The sequence below is a fragment of the Homo sapiens genome, chromosome 15, assembly GCF_000001405.40.
Source record: "Homo sapiens chromosome 15, GRCh38.p14 Primary Assembly".
Classification (NCBI taxonomy): domain Eukaryota; kingdom Metazoa; phylum Chordata; class Mammalia; order Primates; family Hominidae; genus Homo; species Homo sapiens.
In genome coordinates, this window is record NC_000015.10 from 52,438,436 (window position 1) to 52,465,320 (window position 26,885).

A 26,885-nucleotide genomic window follows, 5' to 3' on the forward strand; every position below is an offset into this window, starting at 1 on the left:
CTGGCCAAAGTGAATCAAACTGGACACAGCCCCAGCAAGGCAAGGGAAAGCCCCTGTTGAGAGACAGGACTAGCTGGATTTCCTAGGCAGACTAAGAATCCCTAAGCCTAGCTGGGAAGGTGACCACGTCCACCTTTAAAGATGGGGCTTGCAACTTAGCTCACACCCGAGCCATCAGAGAGCTCACTAAAATGCTAATTAGGCAAAAACAGGAGGTAAAGAAATAGCTAATCATCTATCGCCTAAGAGCACAGCGGGAGGGACAATGATCGGGATATAAACCCAGGCATTCCAGCCGGCAACGGCTACCCTCTTTGGGTCCCCTCCCTTTGTATGGGAGCTCTGTCTTCACTCTATTAAATCTTGCAACTGCACTTTCTTTTGGTCTGTGTTTGTTACGGCTCGAGCTGAGCTTTCGCTCGCCGTCCACCACTGCTGTTTGCCACTGTTACAGACCTGTGGCTGACTTCCACAGGGTGGATCCAGCAGGGTGTCTGCTGTACTCCTGATCCAGCTAGGCGCCCACTGCTGCTCCCGATAGGGCTACAGGCTTGCCATCGTTCCTGCATGGCTAAGTGCCCGGGTTCGTCCTAATCGAGCTGAACACTAGTCAGTCACTGGGTTCCACAGTTCTCTTCCGTGACCCACGGCTTCTAATAGAGCTATAACACTCACCGCATGGCCCAAGATTCCATTCCTTGGAATCCGTGAGGCCAAGAACCCCAGGTCAGAGAACATGAGGCTTGCCACCATCTTGGAAGTGGCCCGCCGCCATTTTGGAAGTGGCCTGCCACCATCTTGGGAGCTCTGGGAGCAAGGACGACCCGGTAACACTGTCATGTAGCTGGATTCTGTCATGATTAGCTAACAAAGGGTTAGGCTCTCTTTCAGTGATCCCCGTTTCCTCTTCTCCACTCACACTACTCTAGATCTAGTCCCTCATTATCTTGTGAGAGTCTCTCAAACATCTCACTTATGCTACCTGAAACCTTATTTTAGTTATTTATGAATCTACCTACCTTCCATACCAGACTATATACTCTTTCAAAGCCATCTTTGAATCCCCTTTGAGGTCAGCCAAGTTCCTGGCCCATAGTTTGTGGGCAGCACATATATGTTGATTTTATTTAAGACTGAGATAAGGTAAGGCAAGGAAAAGAGGTGAGAAAAATTGGCAACATTCCACAGGCTTAGCTCAGGATTTTCCATGAAGCCATACCAGAGTTTGAGGCCACCAAGCAGGGTTGAGATGGGGCATGAATCAGAGGCTTAAAGAAGAGAGACTCATGAAGTAGTAGGTAAAGAAAAAGTAAATAATGATGTAGAAACTGGTAGGAGAAGGAAAAAGAAGAGCCTGAGATTTGAGGTATTGGGATTAAAGAAAAAACCTAGGGAGGGAGAAATGAGAAAATAAACCTAAACTACATAAAATGTAAACACACATCAAAGATTTGTGACAATTCAAATGAACCACTTGACAAAAAATCAGGATGAGAATAAAATGAAGACGGACTAAATTTTATAATAGCTAAAATCTGAGAAAATAATGCTAGCACAGATTTAACCTGCATAATAGCTTGCAAGGAAAATAAAAGACATCTGTCCTTCCACAATACAATTTAATGAGGCCTGCCTGGCAGCAATGAGGTAATTTTGACAGAGTCTAAAAGAAGAGCACTAGAAAGGCACGTTCAAGGGACATGCTGGCACTGGAACATGCCAGAGAGAGGCACCAAGCAGTGTTGGCTCACCCAGCACTGCCCTTGCACCTCCTTGGGGGTTACACCCAGCCTTGCATGTTTAAGGAGGCACCAGCCATCTTTTTTTTTTCTTTTTCTTTTTTTTTTTCTGAGATGGAGTCTCGCTCTGTTGCCCAGGCTGGAGTGCAGTGGCACAATCTCTGCTCACTGCTACCTTTGCCTCCCAGGTTCAAGCGATTCTCCTGCCTCAGCCTCCCAAGTAGCCGAGATTACAGGCATGCACCACAACACCTGGCTAATTTTTATATTATTAGTAGAGACGGGGCTTCGCCATGTTGGCCAGGCTGGTCTTGAACCCCTGACCTCAGGTGATCTGCCCACCTCGGCCTCTCAAAGTGCTAGGATTAAAGGCATGAGTCACCGCACCTGGCCCACCAGTCATCTTTCTTTTGGTATCTTACCATGATGACAACACTGAAGAGGCCCTTGATTGATGCAGATGACTCACTGGAAGTTTTGCTAACTTGTGTTTTGTCTGTCAAGGAACACTGAGGGTGTGGGCACCAAAAGCAGTTGCTTCTGATGCCCCAGACACTTTTGGGAACAAAACTAACAGCATTAACAGAGTAAACTGACCAGCCCTCAAAACCCAAAGAATTTGACCCATATGATCTTCTCTCTTCTCCCCCTAACTCCCATATACATTATTTGCTTTATAGCACATGTGCACATCTTTATTAGCTTCTGTATTAAATCATGAGCAGCTTGGCAATTCAGAATCGGCCATGGCTCACTTTCGATAGCCCATTGTGAATGTTTGCAAAAATGAGTGCTTTATGTCACAATTCAATCAAGCATATTACAAAAACTAAGTGCTCCTCTGGGCTTTGAACTAAAGCAGGGAAGAAATCCTGAAACGTCACCAGTACCCCCTCCTCTGAAATCTGACATTAATGCGGATGTTACACATGATTACTAAGTAATTCATATAGTCTTTAGAGCATGTTTTTGGTATAAAAAATTCAGGAACTACTATTCTAAAAGCACATGATGAGCTCCCCAGAAAAAAGGAAACAAAAATTATTAAAGAAACTAGGAAATCTAGAAAATTGCCCCCCTTAGTAATGGTGTATTTTGTATTTTTTAAATTTGTTATGAAATATGTCATACAAGAGGATGTGTGTGTGTGTGTCTGCATGTGTGTGTATACATAAATAATTTGTTGAATGAAAGAATGACGTAATGAACTTCCATATGCCCACCACTTAGGTTCATAAGTAGAACACTACTTACGCTATTGAAGGCCCTTGATGGAATATATTCTTAAACATTTCATCCTGCTCCCCACCAATTTTCACTTGCCACTTCTATTCTCCAGTCACAGAAAACTATGGGTTTGCTATACCCTGAACAAGCCATGCTGTTTCACACTTGTAAGCCTTTGCTGTAGCTGTTTCCTCCATCTGAAACACAATCTCTTCCCTCTTCAGCAGCAAGCTCCTATTTATTCCTCAATTCTGTGTTCAAGTGCCACCTCCTCTAACAGGCTTTTCCTGACTTCTTCTCCTCATTTGGCTCTCCATTCTCAACATCTCTATTACCTTATACGATCTTCTGCTAGAATCCTTATCCCACTAAATGATGACTTTGGGTGCCTATCTTTAAAGACTGTGAGCTCCTTGCAAGGAGAGCTGTATCTTTTTCAACTTTGTCTATTCAGCAGGGACTGCCCATAATAATTTTTCAAAAAACTTTTGTTATATGAGTGTTCTTAGCTTCCAAGAGGGTGGACAAAAAGAATTATCGGTCTTACCAAACACTCCCAAAATCTTCTGAAAGGCTCTGTAATTTCCAGAAACAGAGAATATGCATGATGCATTAGACAGTTATGTAAGAAATATTTGTGTGACAGAAGGAAAAAGAGCTAGGCATGTGGGGAGCAGAGAAGTAATGAGAAATCCTTTTCTCTCCTCCCACCCCCGACAAACCCACAACTCTTCCCTTCATGTTCATGTGTTTAGAGTGGAAGCTACCCCAAACCTCCAGAACAGAGATTCAGTCCCCACCCAAACCCTACCACAAATTCCTTCCTCAGAAGGAAAAGAAATGCTGGCGCCACCACCTCCACCAGCCATCTCCTGGAGCAGCAAGGAGGGGGACAGATGGGAAGAAAGGAAAGCCAGAGGGTCTAGATCAGGGCAAGGGGTCACAGTAAAATGGGTGTAAGAGAAAAAAGGGGTGTGGAGTGCTGAACACATGGTGCATTCTGGGTAGAGTCGAGAAGTGAAGAGCAGAAGTGTCCTGTACCTCACTGCAGCGTCACAGAAATGCTGCCGAGGAGCTGAATGACAACCAACTCTGCTTGACAGGACTTAGCAAAGGCTTATAAGGAACCAGAGCTAACATTTATTGAGCACCTTTTGTGTGCCAGTAGAGGCCCAGGTATTTTACATGTATAATTTCATTCAAATAATCACAATAACTAACCCCAGTACTAACCCATTTTAACAGCTATTGAGGCTTAAACCTTAAACATGATAGAGATGAAGTTCCAAGTCTACTCTAGGAGCCATACATTCTTTCTACTCCACTATGCCCACCCATTGTTAAAACAGTTTTTTTCTTTTTTTTTTTTTTTGAGATAGAGTCTTGCTCTGTTGCCCAGGCTGGAGTGCAGTGGCACGATCTCGGCTCACTGCAACCTCCACCTCCCAGGTTCGAGCGATTCTCTTCCCTCAGCCTCCCAAGTAGCTGGGACTACAATACAAGTGCATGCCACCAATCCTGGCTAATTTTTAGTAAAGAAAGGGTTTCACCGTGTTAGCCAGGACGGTCTCGATCTCCTGACCTTGTGATCCGCCTGCCTTGGCCTCCCAAAGTGCTGGGATTACAGGCGTGAGCCACCGTGCCTGGCCAAAACAGTAGATTTTATTATGAAGGAATTCCCCTCCTCCACCCCCAAATTGTTCTTGGTATCATAATGAAAACAGCTATTAAACTGGCCCATGTCATCTGGTGAAACTTAAGAATGTCTCATCTAAGACAACATGTCAAAGCCATGCCAATCAGCTTGCCATCCATCCTGCAGTGTTCCAATGAGCTCTGACAAGAGAATGAAGGCTCTACCAAAAATGAGGTTAGTCAATAACAGCAAAAAAACAATCTGAGGATGCTGAAGACTAAAATTTTAATGAATGAGCTCAGGTTCATGAACTTCTATAAATGAACAAAATCATAGGGTTGACTTAAAATTTTTATTTTTTTGCTGACTCTGCAAGTTACCTTGCATATACTGTGAAATGTACCTGGTTTAAAAGTAAATCACGCTTCACTTTGGGAGGCTGAGGCGGGTAGATCACGAGGTTAGGAGTTCGAGACCAGCCTGGCCAACATGGAGAAACCCCGTCTCTACTAAAAACACAAAAATTAGCTGGGCATGGTGGTGGGTGCCTGTAATCCTAGCTACTCGGGAGGCTGAGGCAGAACTGTTTGAACCAGGGAAGCAGAGGTTGCAGTGAGCTGAGACTGGGCCACTGCACTTTAGCCTGGGCGACAGGGCAAGACTCCATCTCAAAAAAAAAAAAAAAAAGTAAATCACACTTTGGGAGGCCGAGGCGGGTGGATTGTCTGAGCTCAGGAGTTCAAGACCAGCTTGGGCAACATGGTGAAACCCTGTCTCTACTAAAATACAAAAAATTAACTGGGAGTGGTGACACGCACCTGCACAGTCCCAGCTACTTGGGAGGCTGAGGCACAAGAATTGCTTGAACCTGAGAGGCGGAGGTTGCAGTGAGCCGAGATTGTGCCACTACACTCCAGCCTGGGCAACAGAGGAAGACTCTGTCTCCAAAAAAAAAAGGAAAATCAAGTTCAAGTCAGCTCCCTCCAGACACTGAAATTATCATTTTAAATTTAGGAAGAAAACAAGAACTTGCAAATTGATGGATATGCTTTGTCACCATTAAGTAGCAAAAATTAAATATTCTTATTTTTCTAAAATTTTATGTGAGATGACAGAGCTTTGGAATGAGTATTTTTAGACACTGTAGTTATTTAACATTCGTGTAAAGATTATTTTCAGAACTAGATCTCACTTCTTAAGAACAGTGTTAATATGCATATCAAGAAAAATTAGTATTTCCATCTATAATTAGCTGGTGGTATTTTAAACCACAAAATTCTAAATAATTAAAATAATCAAAGGTAAAACAGAATCACCAACAGGGAAGCGAACTATATAGGTTGTATTCATCACAGGACTTTGATCAGGATAAAGAAAAGTCCTAACTTTACTTAACCTCATAATATGCTTTATAATTATTATTAAAGAAGTTCCTTATTCAACAAAACACTTGAGAGAAGTTAGATAACTTGCCCCAAAGTCACTCAGCTAATAAATGGCAGAAGCAGAATTCAAACCGAGAAAGATCTCTGATTTCAAAATGATTAGGTTGTATAAGGAAGAATAAGAAAAACACAATCTCATTGAATCACTTTCTCCTGATTGGGACCAAAGTTGCTCAACTAAGCAAAACAACTCACACTTTCCTATCATTTTCAACACTTGTTCTCAATGTAGAAAAAAGTATTAAATGGAAGTCATATTAAATATGTACAGGCCTCTTTATATAGGGGTCTTCCTCCCACATAGACTATCTATCACCCTGATAAATGATGTAGTGATGAAAGAAGTCATGGGTAATTTTTTAAATTTTAACTAAAATGTCTTAACATGGTAAGATTTAAGGAATCATGGCATTAAACATCAAACAACACATACATTATATGAGACAATATGGATAAGGTGCCAAAACAGTACCTGGGAAATAATAGACAGGTGCCGGTATGTATTTCCCTCCCACTTATAACAGGCAGCTCCCTTTGTGTTGCTCCCCAGCTTTGGGAATCGACACTTCTAGGTCTTTTGCTAACTTGGGAAATGACACAGTTTGGATATTTGTCCCTGCCCAAATCCCATGTTGAAATGTAATCCCCAATGCTGGAGGTGAGGCCTGGTGGGAGGTATTTGAATCATGTGGGCAGATCCCTCATGGCTTGCTACTGCCTTTGTGATAGTGAGTTCTCGTGAGATCTGGGCATTTTAAAATGTGTTGCAACCTCCGCCCACCTTCTCTGTCTCTTGCTCCTGCTTTTTGCCATGTGATGTGTCTGCTCCTGCCTTGCTTTCCACCGTGAAAGCTCCCTGAGGCCTCCCTAGAAGCAGATGCCGCCATGCTTCATGTACAGCCTGCAGAACCGTAAGCCAATTAAACCCCTTTTCTTATAACTTACCCAGTCTCAGGTCTTTCTTTATAGCAATGCAAGAATGAACTAACACAAAAAATTGGTACTAGGAGTGAGGGATTGCCTCACATACAGATAACTGAAAATGTAGAAGCAACTTTGGAACTAGGTAACAGCAGAGGTTGGAAGCATATGGAAGGCTCAGAAGAAGACAGGAAGAAGAAAGAAAGTTTGGAATTCTTAGAGACTGGTTAAATGGTTGTGACCAAAATGCTGATAGTGATCCAGACAGTGAAGGCCAGGCTGAGAAGGTCTCAGACGGAAATGTGGAACTTAGTGGAACTGGAGCAAAGGTCACGTGTGTTACGCCTCACCAAAGAACTTGGCTACAATGTGGCCCCCGCCCTAGGGGATCTGTGGAACTGAACTTCAGAGTGATGATTTAAGGTATCTGGCAGAAGAAATTTCAAGGCAGAAAAGCATTCAAGATGTGGCCCGACTGCTTCGAACAGCCTACACTCAGGTACAGGAGCAAAGAAGCGACTTAAAGTTGGAATATATATTTAAGCAGGAAGCAGAGCATAAAAGTTTGGAAAATTTGCAGGCTGGCCATGTGGCAGAGATAGCTTTTGCAAGAGAGAAATCCAAGCAGGCTGTGGAGCAGCAACCATTTGCTAGAGAAATTTGCATAACTAAAAGAGAGACAAGTGCTAACAGCCAAGTCAATGGGGAAAAGGCCTGGAAGGCATTTCGGAGACCTTCCCAGCAGCCCCTCCCACCACAGGCCCAGAGGCCTAGGAGGACATTATGGTGTAGAGGGCCAGGCCTAGGGCCCCACTACCCTGCACAGCCTCAGAGCTCTGCTTCCTGCGTGCTGGCTGCTCCAGCTCCAGCTCCAGCCAAGGGTCAAAAAAGCCGGGGTACAGCTCAAGCTGCCACTTTGAAGAATGCAAGCCATAAAGCTTAGCAGATTCCATGTGGTGTTAAGCCTGTAGGTGTACAGAATAAAAAGTGAAGAACGTTTGGCAGCCTCCACTTAGATTTCAGAGGATGTATGAGAAAGCCTGGGTGCCGAGGCAAAAGCCTCCTGCAGGGGCAAAGCCCTCATAGAGAACCTCTACTAGGGCAGTGCCAAAGGAAAATGTGGGGTTGGAGGCCCTATACAGAGTTGCAAGGGGGCATTGCCTAGTGGAGCTGTGAGAAGGGGGCCACCATCCTCCAGATCCCAGAATCGTAAATCCACTGGCACCTTGCACCTTCAGCCTAGAAAAGCCACAGGCATTCAACTCCAACCCATAAGAACAGCCCTAGGGGCTGAACCCTACAAAGCCACAGACAAAGAGCTGCCCAAGGCCTTGGGAACCCACTCTTTCTATCAGTGTGCCCTGGATGGGACGTGTAGTCAAACAGGATTATCTTGGATCTTTAAGATTTAATGATTGCCCTGCTAGGTTTCAAACTTGTCTGTAGCCCCTTTCTTTTGGCCAATTTCTCCCTTTTGGAATGGGAGAAATGTCCATACCCCACGGTATCTTGGCAGTAGTCAACTTGTTTTGATTTTATGGGCTCAGAGGTGGAAGGAGAAAAGTCTCAGATAAGACTTTGGATTTGGACTTCTGAGTTAATAGTAGAATGAGTCAAGGCTTTGGGGGACTGTCGGGAAGGTGTGATTGTATTTTGCAATGTGAGAAGGACATGAGATTTGGAAGGGGTCAGTGGAGGAATGATATGGTTTGGATATTGGTCCTCACCCAATCTTATCTTAAATTATAATCCCTAATGCTGGAGGTAGGGCCTGGTGGAAGGTGTTTGGATCATGGGGGCGGCTCCCTCATGGCTTGGTGCTGTCTTCGTGATAGTGAGTTCTCGCAAGATCGTTATCACTCACTCACACTCTCGCTCTCTCTCTTGCTTTCTCTCTCCCCAATCCTTGCCATGTGATGTGCCCACTCCCCTTTTGCCTTCCACCATGAGTGGAAGCTTCCTGAGGCCTCCCCAGCCATGGTTTCTGTACATCCTGCAGAACCATGAGCCAATTAAACCTCTTTTCCTTATAAATTCCCAGTCCCAGGTATTTCTTTATAGCAATGCAAGAACAAACTAATACAGAAAACTGGTAATGAGGTGTGGGGCATTGCTATAAAGATACCTGAAAATGTGGAAGTGGCTTTAGACCTGGGTAATGGGCAGAGGTTCAAACAGTTTGGAGGGCTCAGAAGAAGACAGGAAGATGAGGGAAAGTTTGGAACTTCCTAGAGACCTATTGAATGGTTATGACCAAAATGCTGATAGGGATATGCACAGTGAAGGCAAGGCTGAGAGGGTCTCAGATGGAAATGAGGAACTTATTGGGAACTGGGGTAAAGGTCACTCATGCTATGCTTTAGGAAAGAGACTGATGGCATTGTGCCCTTGCTCTAGGGATCTGTGGAACTTTGAACTTGAGAGAGATGATTTAGAGTATCTGGTGGAAGAAATTTCTAAGCAGCAAAGTGTTCAAGAGAATCAATCTGGCTAGATTTAAGAAGATGTACGGAAAAGCCTGGAAGTCCACACAGAAGCCTGCTGCAGAGGCAGAGCCTTCATGGAGAACCTCTAGTAGGGCAATGTAGGAGGGAAATGTGGGGTTGGGGCACTGCCTAGTGGAGCTGTGAGAAGATGGCTACTGTCCTCCAGACCCCAGAATGGTAGACAGTGACAGCTTACACCATGTGCCTGGAAAAGCCAAAGGCACTCAATCCCAGCCCCTGAGAGCAGCTGTGGGGTGGGGCAGAGCCCTGCAAAGCCACAGAGGTGGAGCTGCCCAAGGCCTTGTGGGCCCACTCCTTGCATCAGTGTGCCTTGGATGTGAGACAGAGAGCCAAAGGAGATTCTTTTGGAACTTTAAGATTTAATGACTGTCCTGCTGGGATTTAATGACTGTCCTGCTGGGTTTTGTACTTGCATGAGGTTTGTAGGCCCCTTCTTTTGGCTGATTTCTCCCATTTGGAAAGGGAGTATTTACTCAATGCCTGTACCTCCATTATATCTTGGAAGTAACTAACTTGTTTTTTATTTTACAGGCTCATAGGCAAAAGGGACTAGCCTTGTCTCAAATGAGATTTTGGATTTTTGAGTTAATGCTGGAATAAGTTAAGACTTTGGACTATTGGGAATTGTATTTTGCAATGTGAGGACATAAGATTTGGGAGGCGCCAGTGGCAGAATGATACGGTTTGAGTCTGTGTCCCAACCCAAATCTCATGCCAAATTGTGATCCCCAGTGTCGAAGATGGGTCCTGGTGGGAGGTGACTGGATCACGGGGGAGGATTTCTCCTTTAGTGCTGTTCTTGTGATAGCGAATTATACCAAGATCAGGTTGTTTAAAAGTGTGTAGCAACACCTCCCACCCTCTCTTGTCCTCATGCTCCAGCTGTGCCTGCTTCCCTTAACCTTCTGCCATGATTGTAAATTTCCTGAGGCCTCCACAGCCATACATCCTATATAGCATGTGGAATCGGGAGCCAATCAAACCTCTTTTCTTTATTAAGTACCCAGTCTCAGGTATTTCTTTTTTTTTTTTCTTTTCTTGTCTTTCTTTTTTTTTTTTTTTTTTTTTTTTTTTTTGAGACAGAGTCTTACTCTGTTGCCCAGGCTGGAGTGCAATGGCACAATCTCGGCTCACTGCAAACTCTGTCTCCCGGGTTCAAGCGATTTTCCTGCCTCAGCCTCCTGAGTACCTTGGATTACAGGCACGTGCCACCACGCCTGGCTAATTTTTGTATTTTTAGTAGAGACGGGGTTTCACCATGTTGGCCAGGCTGGTCTTGAACTCCTGACTTCAAGTGATCCACCCACCTCAGCCTCCCAAAGTGCTGGGATTACAGGCGTGAGCCACTGCGCCCGGCCTCAGGTATTTCTTTATAGCAGTATGAGAATGGACTGTAATACAGAATGTTACAAATCTTTCATGATCTGGCCCTGTCAACTTCTCCAGTGTCATCTCTCACCTCTCCTGGCCTTGCATTCAACCCTCTTAACAACTGCAAACACCAGCTGGTTTCTCCATATCTATCTCTACTCAAATTGCCCAGCAAGCCCTTTCCCCCATCCTCATCACCCATATAATACCTATGTATTCTTTAAGGGCTCACCTTTCAGCAGTGTTTCACCACTGACCCTGGCAGCCTACCTGGAACACTCTGGCCTGGCATGGTTCCTTCCTGCCTCTCTAATCATTCCTTTCCCATTTCCTGTGCCAGCTCTACCTTCTCTATCCTATCTGTAACTATTAGAATTGCCCAGACCTCTAAGCTAAGTCTCTTCTCTCTTTTAATGTGGTGTTAAGAATGCAGGCTTGCTAGGCACAGTAGCTCATGCCTGTAATCCCAGCACTTTGGGAAGCCAAAGGAGGAGGACTGCTTGAGTCCAGGAGTTCAAGATCAGCCTGGGCAACACAGTGAGACCTCACCTCTACAAAAAATGAACAGAATTAGCCAGGTGTGATAGCACATGCCTGCAGTCCCAGCTACTTAGAAAGCTGAGGTTGGGAGGATTGCTTGAGCCTGGGAGGTCAAGGCTGCAGTGAGCCAAGATCTTGCCACTGCACTCTAGCCTGAGCGACAGGGCTAGATCCTGTCTCCAAAAAAAAAATTGAATTCAGGCTCAGGCTTTAGAGCAGGGCGTGGTGATGTGCACACCTGTAAACCCTGGTACTCGAGAGGCTTAGGTGGGAGGATCACTTGAGCTCAGGAGTTTGAGACCAGCCTTGGCAACATAACAAGACCCATCTCAAAAATAATAATAATAATAGTTCAGGATAAGACTTTCTGGGTTTACTAGCCCTGTGGTTTTCCTATGTATTGCCTACAATGAGGGTAATAATACCTACCACATAGGGGTATCATGAAGATTAAATCAGTTATATATGTGAAGTACTCAGAACAGTGCTTAGTACGTAGAAGGCAGTTGATATGTGACCTATTCTCATTAATAATATTCTTTAAAAAAAAAAATTAGAGATGGGGCTGGGAGCAGTGGATCACGCCTGTAATCCCAGCACTTTAGGAGGCTGAGGTGGGCAGATCCCTTGAGGTCAGGAGTTCGAGACCAGCCTGGCCAACACAGTGAAACCCTGTCTCTACCAAAAAAATACAAAAATTAGTTGGGCATGGTGGTGCACGCCTGTAGTCCCAGCTACTCGGTAGGCTGAGGTGGGAGAACCACTTGAACTCAAGAGGTGGAGGCTGCAAGAGCCAAGATGGTGCCACTGTACTCCAGCCTGGATGACAGTGAGAACTTGTCTCAAAAAAAAAAAAAAAAAAATTTAGAAACAAGGTCTCACTGTCACCCAGGCTGGTCGTGAACTCCTTGGCTCAAGTGATCCTCCCATCTCAGCCTCCCAGAGTGCTGGGATTATAGACGTAAGTCACCACATCTAGCCTATGTTAATATTATTCTTATGATTAGATTGCACTACTGTGGTTTTTTTTTTTTTTTTTTTTTTGTGACAGGGTCTCACTCTGTTGCCCAGGCTGGATTGCAGTGGTGTGATCATGGCTCAGTGCAACCTTCACCTCCTGGGTCTTATTTTTATGTTTACATTGTATCCCACCCACTCTCAGGAGTTTAAATGCCAATTTTTTCCCAAATTTCTATCTCTACCTAGACTTTTCTACTGAACTCCAGACCCCTAGATCCACATTACTTCCTAAAATCTCTATTTAGATGTCTCATAGACATCTTAAATTCAACAAGTCCAAAACAGAACTCTTCTCCTACCTCTTTTTAAATATGTCCTTCCTGCAGCATTCCCATCTCAGACAGGCACCTCTACGCAGATAGTTGCTCCTGGGAAAAAAACTGATACTCAGGACTTCCCTCTCCTTCACTCCTGTAACAAATCCATCACTAAGTCCTACCTGCAATATTTTAACTAAATTTTGTCCCCCTCTCTCCATCTCTACAGCCACCACCAAATCCTAGCCAATATTCACTCTAATGCCAGAAATAGTTCTCTATCAAGCTTTCCTCCCCCAACTCTCTATTCAGCAGCCAGAGTGATGTTTTTGAAATGGAAAAACAGGATGAAAAATGGAAAAATGATGTTTCATCTTTGCTTAAAATCCTTTAATAACTTTGGCTAAAACATTCACATAACCCCTATGAGCCCTGCATTATTTGGCACTTGCCCTCAGAAGGTTCGAAGAACCAACCCCATCTCATGACATTCCCTACTACCTCACTGCTTAGCCCCTCTATTCACCCCACCAAGGGCCATCTGCACTACCTGTCCTTTAACTGCTTAAACAATCCATGCTAGATCAAGCCTCGAGATTTTCTCTCTTGCTTTTTCTTGGCCTGGAATCCCTAGTTCACTTGTTTTCTGACTGACTCCTCCTTATCCTTCACATCTTAAGTTTTAATATCCGTTACTTGGAAAGACCTTCCCTGACGTGTCTATCTAAATTAAGCTCCACTGTTACGTTTTCTCAGATAACCCTGTACTTTTTCTTCACTATGAAAACCATGAAGATAGGAAGATGTCTGTTTTACTCAAACTGATGCCCACAGCCCAACATAGTGTCTGATCTATAATAGATGCCCAGTAATTACTTACTGAATAAATGTATATTTCATTAAATCTAAGAGACTACCAATAAGATGCATTCCTACTATAAAAAACAATGTGTATGTCAGAATTGAGTAAATATAGGCAGATTCTTCTCCAAAATGGTGGCACAGAAGCAAGCTGGTTTCACCACCCCCTCCCCCCACTGAAAACCAAAAACAAAAATATAATGCCAAGATTATCACCAGCAATATCCCAGAATTAAAATGAGAATGAGACAGTTCCCAGGGCCACAGAGAAGTATTAAAAAAAACTCTGAGCAGATGGTAAGATAATCAGACTCCTATATCAATGACGCAGCTCCACCAAATCTGTCTGGCACCAAGTGCAAGGAAAATTTCCCTCTGACTGAGTTTCTACACTGGAAAAAGTGAGATCAAGGTACAACTTCCCTGCCACCTTGGGTTACCTGACAGAAGACCTATCTTTGCCTCAACCCACAGGAAGTATCATGAGTGCCTGAAGGGTGAAATACCCCTGAGGACAGCCAGAAACAAAGAGAGGATATAGGACCATCATCCTGGGCCCTGGAAACTCCGCTCTTAAACTCAGAGGAGACTCCAAATCAGAGTTCAGCAGTATCATACTGTAGGAGGTATATTCCATAATTCCCCTGTGCCCAAATCCCTAGCCAGCCTTTCCACACTGACAGGATATTCCCTTTGGGACCATCCTCATTCAGGATGGGCAGCACTCAGATCATTTACTAGAGCCAGGTATGGTGGTGCACTCCTGTAATCCCAGCTACTCAGGAGGCTGAGGCAGAAGAATCACTTGTACCCGGGAGGCATAAGTTGCAGTGAGCCAAGATTGCGCCACTGTACTCCAGCCTGAGCAACAAAGTGAGACTCCATGTAAAAAAAAAAAAAAAATAGCCATAGGAGAAACAAAAAAGAATAAAAAGGAATGAAGCTCTGCCAAGGAGATATTGAAAACTACCCTAAAAGACTAAACCTAAGAATTATTGGTGTTCAAGAGGGAGTTGATTAAGAATGAGGGAAAGAAGGCTTATTCAAAGAAATATTAATAGTAAGAGAAAACTTTCCAAAACTTGAGAAACATATAAATATCCAGGTATAGGAAGGTCATAGAATACCACATACATTTGACCCAAATGAGGCTACCCCAAGACATATAATAATCAAATTCTCAAAGGTGAAGGACAAACAGAGGGTCCTAAAAGTAGCAAGGGAAAAGAAGCAAATAACATATAAAGGAGTTCCAATGCATTTTGCAACAGACCTCTCAAGCGAAAGTATATGGGCCAGAAGGGAGTGAAAGGACATTTTCAATGTGCTGAAAGACAAAAAAACCCTGCCATCTTAGAATACCATATCCAACAAAGCTATCCTTCAAACATGAAGGAGAGATAAAGTCCTTCCCACAAAACAAAAGTTGAGAGAATTCACCACCACCAGACCTGTCTTATAAGAAATACTAAAGGGAGTTCTTCAATGTGGAAGAAGAAAAAAAAAGCAAAACACTAATGTGAAAAAACAAAACATGTGAAGGTATAAAACTCACAGGTAAAAATAGGTACACAAAAAAACCTCAGAATAATTGAAACTGCAATGGTGATGTGCTTTCAATTCATAACTAGTATAATGTCTGGAAGATAAATCTATCAAAAAGAAATAGCAGCAGGAACCCGTTAAGAGATAAGCTATATTAAATATGTAAATTGAGACAATAAAAAGTGAAAACGTAGGGGGAATGGAATTAGATTATAGAGGTTTTTTTTAAAAAAATATTTCTGCATTTCTGTCTTGTCTTTGTGATCTAAGATAAATAGTCATCTCCTTGACATAACTTATTATATCTATAAGATGTTTTCTATAAGTCTCATGGTAACTACAAAGTAAAAACTTATGAAAAATACAGTAAAAATAAAATGCAACAAATTAAAACATACTACTAGAGAAAACTACTTAACCACAAAGGAGGATAGTATGAGAGGGAGAAGAGAGAATAAGAAAATAACTAGAAAACAAGCAACAAAATGACAGTAGAAAGTACTTACTTATCAATAACACTGAATGCAAATGGATAAAATTCTCCAATCAAAAAAGATATAGAGTGGCTAAATCAAAAAAGAAACAAGAGTCAACTATCTGTTGTCCCTAGGAAACCCATTTTACCTATAAAGACATACGTAGACTGAAAGTGAAGGGATGGAAAGAGATATTGCATGCATGTGGAAACCAAAAAAGAGTAGGAGTAGCTATACTTGTATCAGATAAAATAGACTACAAGTCAAAGACTGTAAAAAGTAACAAAGAAGGTCACTATATAATGATAAAGGGATCAATTAAGCAAGAAGATACAACAATTATTAATATCTATGCACCCAACACCAAAGTACCCAAGTATATATAGCAAACATTAATAGGTCCAAGAGAGGGATACACTGTAATAAAATAAAAGTCAGAGACTTCAACACCTCACTGTCAGTAATGGACAGATCACCCAGACAGAAAATCAACAAGGAAACATCAGAGTTAAACTACAGGCAAACAGGCCTAACATTTACAGAACATTTCACCCATTTGCAGAAGAGTACACATTCTTTTCATCAGCACATGAAATATTCTCCAGAATAGAACATAACTTGGGCCACAAAACAAATCTCAACACATTCAAAAAAGGAGAAACCAAGTATCTTTTCTGACTACAGTGGAACCCTGGAAAATTCACAAATACATGGAAATTAAACAACATGCTCCTGAATGACCAAAGGGTCAATTTAAAAAATTAAGATGGAAATTTAAAATTTCCTTGAAAATACAAAAACGGTAATACAACATACCAAAATCTATGGGATACAGCAAAAGCAGTACTAAGAAAGATGTTTATAGCAATAAATGCCTACATCAAAAAAGTAAAAAGACTTCAAATGAACAATCTAATAATGGTGCATGTTAAGGAACTAGAAGAGCAAGAACAAATCAAATCCAAAATTGGTAGAGGAAAAGAAATAATAAAGACCAGAGCAGAAATAAATGAAATTGAAACTAAAAAAAAAATACAGAAGGTCAATGAAACAAAAAGTTTACTGTTTGAAAATATTGACAAACCTTGACCAAGGCTAAGATAAAAAGAGAGAAGACCCAAATAAATAAAATCAGAGATTAGAAAGGAGACATAACAACTGAGACTACAGAAATACAAAGAATCATTAGAGACATTATAAAGTACTATATGCCAACAAATTGGAAATCCTAGAATAAATTGATAATTCCTGGACACATACAACCTACCATAATTGAATAATGAAAAAATTGAAAACCTGAACTAATAATGAGTAATAAGTAATAAGATCAGAGTCATAACAACAACGACAAAAAAGAAGCCCTGGATCTGATGGCTTAATTGCTGAATTCTACCAAGCAGTTAAGGAAGAACTAATACCAATTCTGCTCAAACTCTTCAAAAAAATTGAAAAGTGGGGAATAGTTCCGAACTCATTCTACAAGCCCAGCTTTACCTGATACCAAAATCAGAAAAGGAGACAACAAAATAAGAAAACTACAGGCTAATATCACTGATGAATACAGATGCAAAAATTCTCAAAAAAAATACTAGCCCAACTGAATTCAACAACACATTAAAAAGATCATTCACCATAATCAAGTGGGATTCATCCCAGACATGCAAGGATGGTTCAACATACACAAATCAATAAATGTAATACATCACATTAACAGAACGAAGAACAAAAACCATATGATCATTTTGATACATGTTAAAAAAGCATTCAATAAAATTCAACATCCCTTCATGATAAAAAAAAAAAAACCTCAACAAAGTGGTTACAGAAGGACTATACTTCAAAATAATAAAGGCCACATATGAGAAACCCACAGCTAACATCATTGAATGGGGACCATTTGAAAGCCTTTCATCTAACATACGGATCAACAAAAGGATGTCTACTTTTACTTTTATTCAACATAATATTGGAAGTCCTCACCAGAGCAATCAGATAAGAGAAAGAAAAGACATCCAAATTGGAAAGGAAGAAGTCAAATTACCCTTGCTCGCAGATGACATGATCTTATTATTTAGAAAACCCTAAAAACGCCACCAAATAAAACTGTTAGAACTGATAAACGAATCTAGTAAAATTGCAGGATACAAAATCAACATACAAAACCAGTAACATTTATATATGCCAACAGCAAACAATCTGAAAAAGAAATCAAGAAATTAACCCCATTCACAACTGCTACAAATAATATAAAATACCTAGAAATTAACTTAACCAAAGAAGTAAAACATCTATACAACCAAAACTATAAAAACACTGATGAAAGAAATTAAAGAGGACACACAAAAACATGGAAAGATATTCCATGCTTGTGGATGAAAAGACTTAATTTTGTTAAAATGCCAGTATCACCCAAAGCAATTTACAGATTCAATGCAATCCATTTCAAAAATACTAATGATATTCTTCACAGAAACAGAAAAACAATCCTAAAATTTATATGGAACCAGAAAAGACCTCACATAGACATAGCAATCCTGAGCAAAAAAAAACAAAGCTGGAGGCATGACACTACCTGACTTCAAAATATACTATAAAGTTGTAGTAACCAAATAAGCATGCCTGGTACTGGTATAAAAACAGACACATAGACCAAGGGAAAAGAATAGAGAATACAGATATAAATGTATACATTTACAGCCAACTCATTTTTGAAAAAAGCACCAAGTACGTACAATTGGGAAGGACAGTCACCTCAATAGATGGTGCTGGGAAAACTGGATAACCATATGCAGAAGAATGAAACTAGACCCCAGTCTCTCAACATACACAAAATATACATCAAAATGGATTAAAGGCTTAAATGTAAGATCTGAAACTTGTAGAAGTAAGCATTGGGCAAACATTCCAGGACATCAGTCTAGATAAAGATTTTATAGCTAAGACTTCAAAATTACAAGAAAAACAAAAATAGACAAGCAGGACTATGTTAAACTAAAAGGCTTCTACACAGCAAAGAAAACGATTAACAGAGTAAAGAGATAACCCACAGAACTGGAGAAAATATTTGCCAACTTTTCATTCAACAAGAGACTAATATCCAGAATATACAAAGAACTCAATTCAACAGCAAAACAAAACAAAACAAAAAACAAATAATCTCATTAAAAAGTAGGCAAAGGGGCTTGGTGTGGTGGCTCACGTCTGTAATCCTAACTCTTTGGGAGGCTGAGGCAGGTAGACTGCTTGAGCTCAGGAGTTCAAGACCTGCCTGGGCAACATGGCGAAACCCTATCTCTACAAAAAATACAAAAATTAGCCAGGTGTGGTGTAGTCCCAGCTACTTGGGGGCTGAGGTGGGAGAAGCGCTTGAGCCCAGGGAGGTTAAGGCTGCAGTGCACAATGACTGCACCAGCCTAAGTGACAGAGTGAGACCCTGTCTCAAAAAAAAAAAAAAAAAAAGTAGACAAAGGATCTGAACACACATTTCTCACAAGAAGGCATATAAATGGCTAACAGGTATATGACAAAATGCTCAACACCACTAATCATCAGAAAATGCAAATCAAAACTACAATGAGATATAATCTCACTCCCGTTAGAATGACTTTTATCAAAAAGGCAAAAAATAACAGAGACTGTTGAGGATGTGGAGAAAAGGAAATTCTTATACATTGTTGGTGGAAATGTAAATTAGAACAGTCATTATGGAAAAGAGCATGGAGATTTTTCAAAAGTCTAAAAATAGAACTACCATACAATCCAGTAATCCCACTTCTGGGTATTTATTCAAGGGAAAGGAAATCAGTATGTCAAAAGCATATCTGCACCCTCATGTTTATTGCAGTACTATTAACAATAGCTACGATATGGAATCAACCTAAGTGTCCACCGACAGATCAACTGATAAAGTGTTATGTATACATAATAGAATACTATTCGGCCATAAAAAAGAATAAAATCTTGTCGTTGCAGCAGCATGGATGAAACTGGAGGTCATTAAGTTGAGTGAAATAAACCAAGCACAGAAAAACAAATATCACACATTCTCATTCATATGTAAGCTACAAAAAAGTAGATCTCACGGAGGTAAAGAGTAAAATTATAATTACTAGAGGCTAGAAGGGTGTATGTGGCAGTAGAGGGATAAAGAGAGGTTAGTTAATGGGTACAAACATACTGTTAGAAGAAATAACTGCTAGTGTTCAATAGCACAATAATAGGGTGACTATAGCTAACGACAATGTATTATGTATTTCAAAACAGCTAGAAGAAGAAGATTCCAAATGTTCCTAACACAAAGAAATGATAAATGTGGCCGGGCACAGTGGCTCATGCCTGTAATCCCAGCACTTTGAAAGGCCGAGGCAAGTATATCACTTGAGGTCAGGAGTTCAAGACCAGCCTGGGCTGGTGACATGGTGAAACCCTGTCTCTACAAAAAATACAAAAATTAGCCTGGCATGGTGGCATCTTTACAAAAAATACAAATATTAGCTGGGCGTGGTGGCATGCACCTGTAGTCCCCGCCACTAGAGAGGCTGAGGTGAGAGGATCATTTGAGCCCAGGAAGTCAAGGCTGCAGTGAGCCATGTTTGCACCATTGCACTCCAGCCCTGCACAAAGCAAGATTCTGTCTCAAAAAAAAAAGAAAAATAATAAAAAAGAAATAATAAATGTTCAAGGGGATGGATATTCTAAATACCATATTTGATCATTACACATTCTATGCATGTATCAAAATATCACAGGTACCTCACAAATACATACAAATATAAATAAATATAAAAACAAAAAACAAAAAGACTAACTTCATTTTATAACATTCTTTCATAAATTAATTTTTCAAAAGGTACCATTTTCAACTGTCAAATTTTAAAATATTAGAAATTTGAAAATATTGGCAAGGGCACAGGAATTAGGAATCTCAGGCACTGGTTTTTAGCATATAAATCTTCATAGCATTTCTGGGAAGGAAGCTTGACAATTTTTTTTTCAAATACCTTAAAAATGTAAAAATTCTTTTTTGGGGGGCAGGGGGAGAAGGGGTCTCGCTCTGTTGCCCAGGCTGGAGTGTAATGGTGCAATCTTGGCTCACTGCAACTTCCGCCTCCCAGGATCAAGCAATTCTCTGGCCTCAGCCTCCTGAGTAGCTGGGATTTTCCAGAAATTTTTTTTTTTTTTTTTTTTTTTTTTTAGTATTTATTGATCATTCTTGGGTGTTTCTCAGAGAGGGGGATTTGGCAGGGTCATAGGACAATAGTGGTGGGAAGGTCAGCAGATAAACATGTGAACAAAGGTCTCTGGTTTTCCTAGGCAGAGGGCCCTGCCGCCTTCCACCTTCCACAGTGTTTGTGTCCCTGGGTAGTTGAGATTAGGGAGTGGTGATGACTCTTAACGACTATGCTGCCTTCAAGCATCTGTTTAACAAAGCACATCTTGCACCGCCCTTAATCCATTTAACCCTTAGTGGACACAGCACATGTTTCAGAGAGCACGGGGTTGGCGGTAAGGTTATAGATTAACAGCATCCCAAGGCAGAAGAATTTTTCCTAGTACAGAACAAAATGGAGTCTCCTATGTCTACTTCTTTCTACACAGACACAATAACAATCTGATCTCCCTTTCTTTTCCCCACATTTCCCCCTTTTCTATTCGACAAAACCGCCATTGTCATCACGGCCCGCTCTCAATGAGCTGTTGGGTACACCTCCCAGACGGGGTGGCTGCCGGGCAGAGGGGCTCCTCACTTCCCAAAAGGGGCTGCCGGGCAGAGGGGCCCCCCACCTCCCAGACGGGGCGGCGGCCGGGCAGAGGGGCTCCTCACTTCCCAGACGGGGCGGCCGGGCAGAGGGGCCCCCGATCTCCCAGATGGGGTGGCGGCCAGGCAGAGGGGTTCCCCACTTCCCAGACGGGGCGGTTGCCGGGCGGAGGGGCTCCTCACTTCTCAGACGGGGCGGCCGGTCAGAGACGCTCCTCACCTCCCAGACGGGGTGGCGGCGGGGCAGAGACACTCCTCAGTTCCCAGACGGGGTCGCGGCCGGGCAGAGGCACTCTTTATATCTCAGACGGGGCGGCGGGGCAGAGGCGCTCCCCACATCCCAGATGATGGGCGGCCAGGCAGAGACGCTCCTCACCTCCTAGACGGGATGACGGCCGGGAAGAGGCGCTCCTCACTTCCCAGACTGGGCGGCCAGGCAGAGGGGCTCCTCACATCCCAGACGATGGGCGGCCAGGCCGAGACGCTCCTCACTTCCTATACGGGGTGGCGGCCGGGCAGAGGCTGCAATCTTGGCACTTTAGGAGGCCAAGGCAGGCGGCTGGGAGGTGGAGGTTGTAGCGATCCGAGATCACGCCACTGCACTCCAGCCTGGGCAACATTGAGCACTGAGTGAGCGAGACTCCGTCTACAATCCCGGCACCTCGGGAGGCCGAGGCTGGCAGACCACTCGCCGTCAGGAGCTGGAGACCAGCCCGGCCAACACGGCCAAACCCCGTCTCCACCAAAAAATACGAAAACCAGTCAGGTGTGGCGGCGCGCGCCTGCAATCCCAGGCACTCGGCAGGCTGAGGCAGGAGAATCAGGCAGGGAGGCTGCAGTGAGCCCAGATGGCGGCAGTACAGTCCAGCCTCGGCTCGGCATCAGAGGGAGACTGTGCAAAGGGGAGACGAGGACCGTGCGAGGGCGAGGGCGAGGGCGAGGCTCCAGAAATTTTTTGTAGCGTTATAGCTTAAAGAAGTTATCTAAGCTATATAAAGACTTTAATGACATAGTTTCTCCCCCCACCCCAAAACAAAGAAGACAAAAAGAAAACAACTGAAAGGACCAACAATAAAAAAAATCGACTAAGGAAATTCAGTGCAATTTTAAATAAAATAATATCATAAAATATATATGATCATAAAATATATGTGAGTAGAATACATGTGGTCAAAGGAAAGTGCTCACAATATATTTTTAAGTGAAAACAATATGTATTTTTGTTTGTTTTTTGAGACAGAGTCTTGCTGTTGCCCAGGCTGGAGTGCAGGGGCACAATCATGGCTCACTGCAGCCTCAACCTTCCCAGGCTCAGACGATCCTCCCGCCTCAGCCTCCTGAGTAATTGTGACTACAGGCACGTGCCACCATGCCTGTTTAATTTTTGTATTTTTTGCGGAGACTAGGTGTCAACATGTTGCCCAGGATGATCTCCAACTCCTGGGCTCAAGCGATCCTCCTACTTCAGCCTCCCAAAGTGCTGGGATTATAGGTATGAGCCACTGTGTCGGGCCAATAGGTATGTTTTGTAAAAAGGAAAATGATATGACATTTAAAGGGCATACTTAAAATCTTAGCAGTGGTTAATTTTTGTTTTTGCAATTTTTTACAGCAAACATTGCCTGATGTTTTTGCAATTATTAATAAACAATAAATCATCTTAACATTAAAAACAAAAATACTGTAATTTGCTATCAACCATAAGCATGAGTGAAAAACAGAAACCTAGTCACCCAAACTTAAAAACAGGCTAGCTTGCCCAAACAAAACAGCATTTCACAATAGGAAGTTATTTTGAAGGTGATGAACAGAACATGAGTAAGCATGAAGGGGCTCTAGGTTAGTAAAACTTATTCATATTTAAATCTTATATGCTATCTATTCCTCTCCCCATAGCTTAGGTAGACTTGTTCAGCAGAAACCCCATAAAAACTGTGTGATCAGCCAGGTGTGGTCATTCACGCCTGTAATCCCAGCACTTTGGGAGGCTGAGGTGGGCAGATCGCGAGGTGAGGAGTTTGAGACCAGCCTGGCCAACATAGTGAAACCCCGTCTCTACTACAAATACAAAAATTAGCCGGACATGGTGGCATGCGCCTGTAGTCCCAGCTACTCAGGAGGCTGAGGCAGGAGAATTGCTTGAACCTGGAAGGCAGAGGTTGTGGTGAGCTGAGATCGCGCCACTGTACTCTAGCCAGCCTGGGCAACACAGCGAGACTCCATCTCAAAAAAAAAAAAGTTTGGGCCAGGCGCAGTGGCTCATGCCTGTAATCCCAGCACTTTGGGAGGCCGAGGTGGGCGGATCACGAGGTCAGGAGATGGAGACCATCCCAACTAACACACTGAAACCCCGTCTCTACTAAAAAAATACAAAAAAATTAGCCAGGCATGGTGGCAGGCGCCTGTAGTCCCAGCTACTCAGGAGGCTGAGGCAGGAGAATGGCGTGAACCCAGGAGGCAGAGCTTGCAGTGAGCCGAGATTGTGCCACTGCACTCCAGCCTGGGCGACAGAGCGAGACTCTGTCTCAAAAAAAAAAAAAAGGTTTGATCAAAACCCACAATTTCTACTTTGTGGCATTAATATTTTTAAATATATACTACAGGTTAGGCGAATAATACAAGGCTGCAGTGTTCATCTGATATCTTGAAAGCACAACTGTATGCATACTAAGTACCAAAAAGATCACCGAGAGAAATCCTCAAGGAAGAAAAGAACACAGAAGTGGCATTAGACCCAAGCCAGCTGCTGGCCATGCTTGCACCTTGATCATGATAAGACAATTACTAGAGAACGAAGCAGCACAAATAATTAGATATTAAGGTTATCGGCCAGGCACAGTGGCTCACGCCTATAATCCCAGCACTTTCGGAGGCCAAGGTGGGCAGATTGCCTGAGGTCAAGAGTTCCAGACCAGCCTGGCCAACATGGTGAAACCCCATCTCTACTAAAAATACAAAAATTGGCCGGGCACGGTGGCACACACCTGTAGTCCCAGCTACTCTGGAGGCTGAGGCAGGATAATCTCTTGAACCCTGGAGGTGGAGGTTGCTGTGAGCCAAGATTGTGCCACTGCACTCCATCCTGGGCGACAGCGAGAATCCGTCTTGGAAAAAAAAAAAAAAGGTTATGAAATTCTCATTCAGTAATTTCCAAACATCTAGAGAGATCAAGAGTACACTTTGCTTCCCTTAAATCTGACAGCCCTAAGATGTTAAGTGGTATGATTGAACTGATAGAGAAAATCATCCAAATTGGGTGGTCGGGTTCTCAGTATGACTGAGAGAAACTGACAGGACAATGGGAATCATAACAGAAAGATCAAAATTGATTGTCAGTCTATTTTAGGTTGTAAAAATCTCATGAACTAAAGGACATTTTTTCTTGAGTGACAGGTACTCCAACTGTATACGCTGAGAGGGTATTTTGAGAGAAAAATGCAGCATAAGCAAACAAAGACTCTAAAAGAACTTGTGCCTCAGCCTTTTCCCCAGATGTCAAGCCGGCATCCTGGCAGTGACTTGACCACACTTTCTTCATCAAGATGGACTTCTCTAGAAATAAGAATTTCATTCTGTCTGTAAAAACTAAGAAAGGATATTATTTCCTTTACCCCTCTATAGTGGCTTTTCAGTTATATTAAAAAACGTCATCCATGAGTTAAGTATTTCTTAAGACATATAAAACTAAAATGTTTAAATATTATAAAACTTACAACTAAAATTGCTTTCTTTTTTTATTATTATAAAATTTCATTTTCCCTGTACTCATTTTTTCCTCATTTTCTTAGTTATTTAAACTTCTCTTACAGACATTTTCATCAGTATTTTAGTATGCTTTATACAGAAGAGGTTTTCTGTTTTGCTAACTTGTTCTACAGATTTCCTAAAAGCTACTGGAAACATTGTTAATCTGTATCTGAAATAATCAGCTACCAACTGTATCAAAAGCACTTCCTTTTATTTGACCTGTGAATTACTTATCTGAAGCTTCAAAAGATGCCTAAGCTATTTTTGTAGTGAATAAGTCAGCATTGCCCTCTTCAGGTGCCTCATAGTGTTAGAAGCTTCCACCAGATCAAAAGTTCATTCTTCATCTTTCCAGATGGAAGAAGAGCATAAATTTTTTAAACAGTGCCTCACATCCTCTTAATCATTCTAGTTTATTTTTAATTTTTCTGAATCTCAATTCCCTTACTTACAAAATAAACCAATTAGACTGTATATACAATTACATTTGAGAACATGGGCTCTGGAGTTAGACAGATCCAGAAGCTCCAATACTTTCCAACTGTGTGACCTTGAACAATTACCCAACTTTCTTCCTCAGGATTCTCATCCATAAAACTGGTTATTAGTAATACCTGCCTCAGAGAGTTGTGATGCAGATAAATTAGATAAGGCTTAAAACCACTACACAGTTTTGTCGCCAGCCCAACCCCAGGCCAAACCCCGATTCAGGTACCTCATTGTGCTGCATCTGAATTCCTTTACTATACTCTACGATGTACTATGTGATCTGGCCCCTACCCACAGGTTTAACAGCAACTCACTGGGGTCTTCTCCCTTCCCCTGAGCTCTGGCTGTGCCAGCCTTCTGTTGTTCCTAGAACACCCAAACTACAAGTTCAATGCCATTGCTGTACCCACTGCCTAGAACACCTTCCCCTCATTTCCCATCTCTTCTTAGGACTAGTTCCTTCTCACTCTTCTGGTCTCAGTTTATATATGCGTTTTTCTCAGAAAAAGTCCACCCTGACTACTCTATAGATTGTTTTGGTTATGTGGGATTCTTTGTGTCCCTAACTAGCCAGAAAGCCTGTGAGGGCAGGGACAACGAACACCGAAACCTAGAACAATGTTTGGTAACTAGCAGGTACTCAATAAATATGTGTGAAATGAAAGTGCTTAGCATAGTGTTTAGCTGACTGAAAAAATAGGTTAGGAGCAGGATGTGAAAGACCTCATGTGCCATGGTAGGCAGTTTGGCCTATATACTGCATGAGACAGGGATTCATCACAGGCTTTTAAGCAGAGTAATGAATGACCAGATGTTTCCAACACCCTAGTTCTAATCAGCAGTCTTTTAATCATAAACAAAAGCACATCTTGTACAACTCCTGCTTATGATTAGTCGTTTTCCTAGTTATGTATATATGACTGTCACTCACATTTAGCCTGTAGACAGGATTTATCTAATATACACATAATTGCTTCCAAAATGTCATCCATATTAGGCAAATAGAGACTGTATTGGCCACACTGGGAGTCAGCTTTACCTAAGGGCAGGGGCAAGGAGGGACATTTCACTGGTATTACCTCATTAATGATGAGCACTAGAAGGGAGATTCTTGACCTGGAAACAGCAGCCTTGGTAGTAAGGTCAGGGCAAGATTATTACGGAATTCTATAATGAGCTGGCTTTGAGAGGGCAAATGAGTAGGCCATCTTGCTGCTGGCTGAGACACCTTAAGCAAAAAAGCCCTGTTGGCCTGCATCTTTAAGTGGAAGTGTTAAACTTTGGGCTGCATGATGCTTTCTTATTAACTCCTCCCATGATCCCCTATCCTTGCCCCTTTTATTAAG

At 42.3% G+C, this 26,885-nt stretch overlaps 1 protein-coding gene across 11 annotated transcripts in view, besides 1 other annotated feature; it reads right to left on the reverse strand.

Moving 5' to 3' along the window:
- The window catches only part of MYO5A (myosin VA), a 221,768-nt gene that overhangs the window by 131,153 nt on the left and 63,730 nt on the right, over positions 1 to 26,885 (reverse strand). The window contains exon 1 of one of the 11 annotated variants that reach the window (XM_047432545.1): positions 21,524 to 21,539. The gene's annotated coding sequence lies outside the window, so the exon portion shown is untranslated. 11 annotated transcript variants of the gene reach the window in all.
- Positions 21,105 to 22,000: an enhancer, noted in NCBI's record as "NANOG-H3K27ac hESC enhancer chr15:52751737-52752632 (GRCh37/hg19 assembly coordinates)". NCBI's record gives its function as "activates a minimal SCP1, AML or CMV promoter by ChIP-STARR-seq in primed H9 embryonic stem cells {active_cell/tissue: H9 hESC(primed)}" and the evidence as "EXISTENCE:reporter gene assay evidence [ECO:0000049][PMID:30033119]".